Genomic DNA, 1,575 nt, shown 5'->3' with positions numbered 1-1,575 from the left:
GGACCAGCCTGGGCAAGAGCCAAACCCAAGTCTATCTGCCTTCAGAACCCAAGAGACCTACACAGCCCAAGAGAACAGAGGTAGCCAAGGGCCCATGGTGGGAAAGTACAGGGTGGGTTTAGAGAAGAGAAGGGGTGCAAATCTTCTGTGGCTGAAGTTCTCACGGTGGGGCACGGGATGGGGCGGGGAGATGGAAACATGGAGAGGATGAGACAGTGTCAGGTGGGGCTATGAGCAGGGACTCTGCATCCCGCTGGGCACACGCCTCGCTTCTGCCCCTTACCAACTGTGGAACAGTGAGTAAGCTGTGTCATCTTCCTATACCTCAGTTTGCTCATCTATAAAAGGGGAATAATAAATAGCAACCCCCTCAGCCCCTCCTAGCATTGCTGTGAGAATAAATGAGCTAAATAGAGAGTAATAAATATATATTTTCATAGGGCAGCGCTAGGAGCATGGTAAGTGCTGTATGTGTTTATTATCAAAAGATCTGGATGGCCTGGTTCAAACCTTGGCTCTGTCCCTCAGTAGCTACGTGACCTTAGTCGGCTTACATCAAGGTTTGCACCTCAGTTTCCTCATCTATAAAATAGAAATAACATGCCCGTCTCACAGAGCTGTCATAAGGCCTCAGTGAGACACTGCAAAAATGGGAAGTCTGGTTCCACATGGGAAGTGATTTTCTAAATCGTATTCTCACTTCTACCATGTCGGCTTGCTAGTTACGGGCTAAAAACTTTCTTCACAATCAGTTGTGCAAGTGTCCTCATGGGAAATTCAATAAAAAGTTCAGCAAAAGAACTGTAAATTCTTAATTGTAGGGGATTAGTAAGGCTGTATTATGGTAAATTTACCTCACACATAATTTATTAAGTCAAAACTACATTTTCTAATTAAAAACCTAAGAAATCATGCATGCTGAGTCTTATAACACACAAATTTTAGTCTGAAACAACCAACTCAGGAAACCGTAAAAGACAGGGCAGTGTATATAAATCATGCCTTGGGAAGAGGCGAGTTTTAGGAGGCAGGTAGATCTGTTTGGGGATTTATAGCAGGCCCCTCAATGTAGCATCTCAACCCTTTGACATCTGTACTATTCAGCCAACCCTAATATACAGACAACCGATCCGAGGCAGAAGGAAAACAAATGTGCAAATAGTGGCCCGCCCATGTTGACGCCCAGGCTCAGTTTTCAGTTCGGTGCCAGCCTCCCGCCCGCCCACAGCCCCTTGAGCAAAGCCTTCCACACAGATGCTAATTACGTGCCTTCATTTGAACCCACAGATCTGGCATTAATTTGTATTGGAGCTATGAGTCCTTTTTGTTTAAGTGGTAAAAAAGTCAAAACGGTGGTGAACTTCTAGAATATTCTCAAGGTAACACAGAGTATATTTTGATCAGAAGACTGTGTTCCATAGAGGTTAGGCAGACAGATGGATGGACCCAGAGTGGAAGCTGACTCTACTGCTTACCGGCTGGGTGGGACAAACTCCCTCTGCTCTCTGAACTAGAGTGCAAAATTAATTTATTCTGCAAAATGAAAGAAATAGTCATAGCTCCTACCTCTTAGGG

At 44.8% G+C, this 1,575-nt stretch overlaps 1 annotated feature.

Annotated features, from left to right (window-relative positions):
* Positions 1,029-1,323: a silencer, noted in NCBI's record as "tiled region #9281; K562 Repressive non-DNase unmatched - State 22:ReprW". NCBI's record gives its function as "represses a minimal TATA promoter and a strong SV40 promoter by Sharpr-MPRA in K562 cells {active_cell/tissue: K562}" and the evidence as "EXISTENCE:reporter gene assay evidence [ECO:0000049][PMID:27701403]".

Source organism: Homo sapiens, chromosome 1 (assembly GCF_000001405.40).
Source record: "Homo sapiens chromosome 1, GRCh38.p14 Primary Assembly".
Classification (NCBI taxonomy): domain Eukaryota; kingdom Metazoa; phylum Chordata; class Mammalia; order Primates; family Hominidae; genus Homo; species Homo sapiens.
The sequence above is the reverse complement of the archived record's forward strand: the minus strand, read 5'-3'. Positions and strand labels throughout refer to the sequence as shown.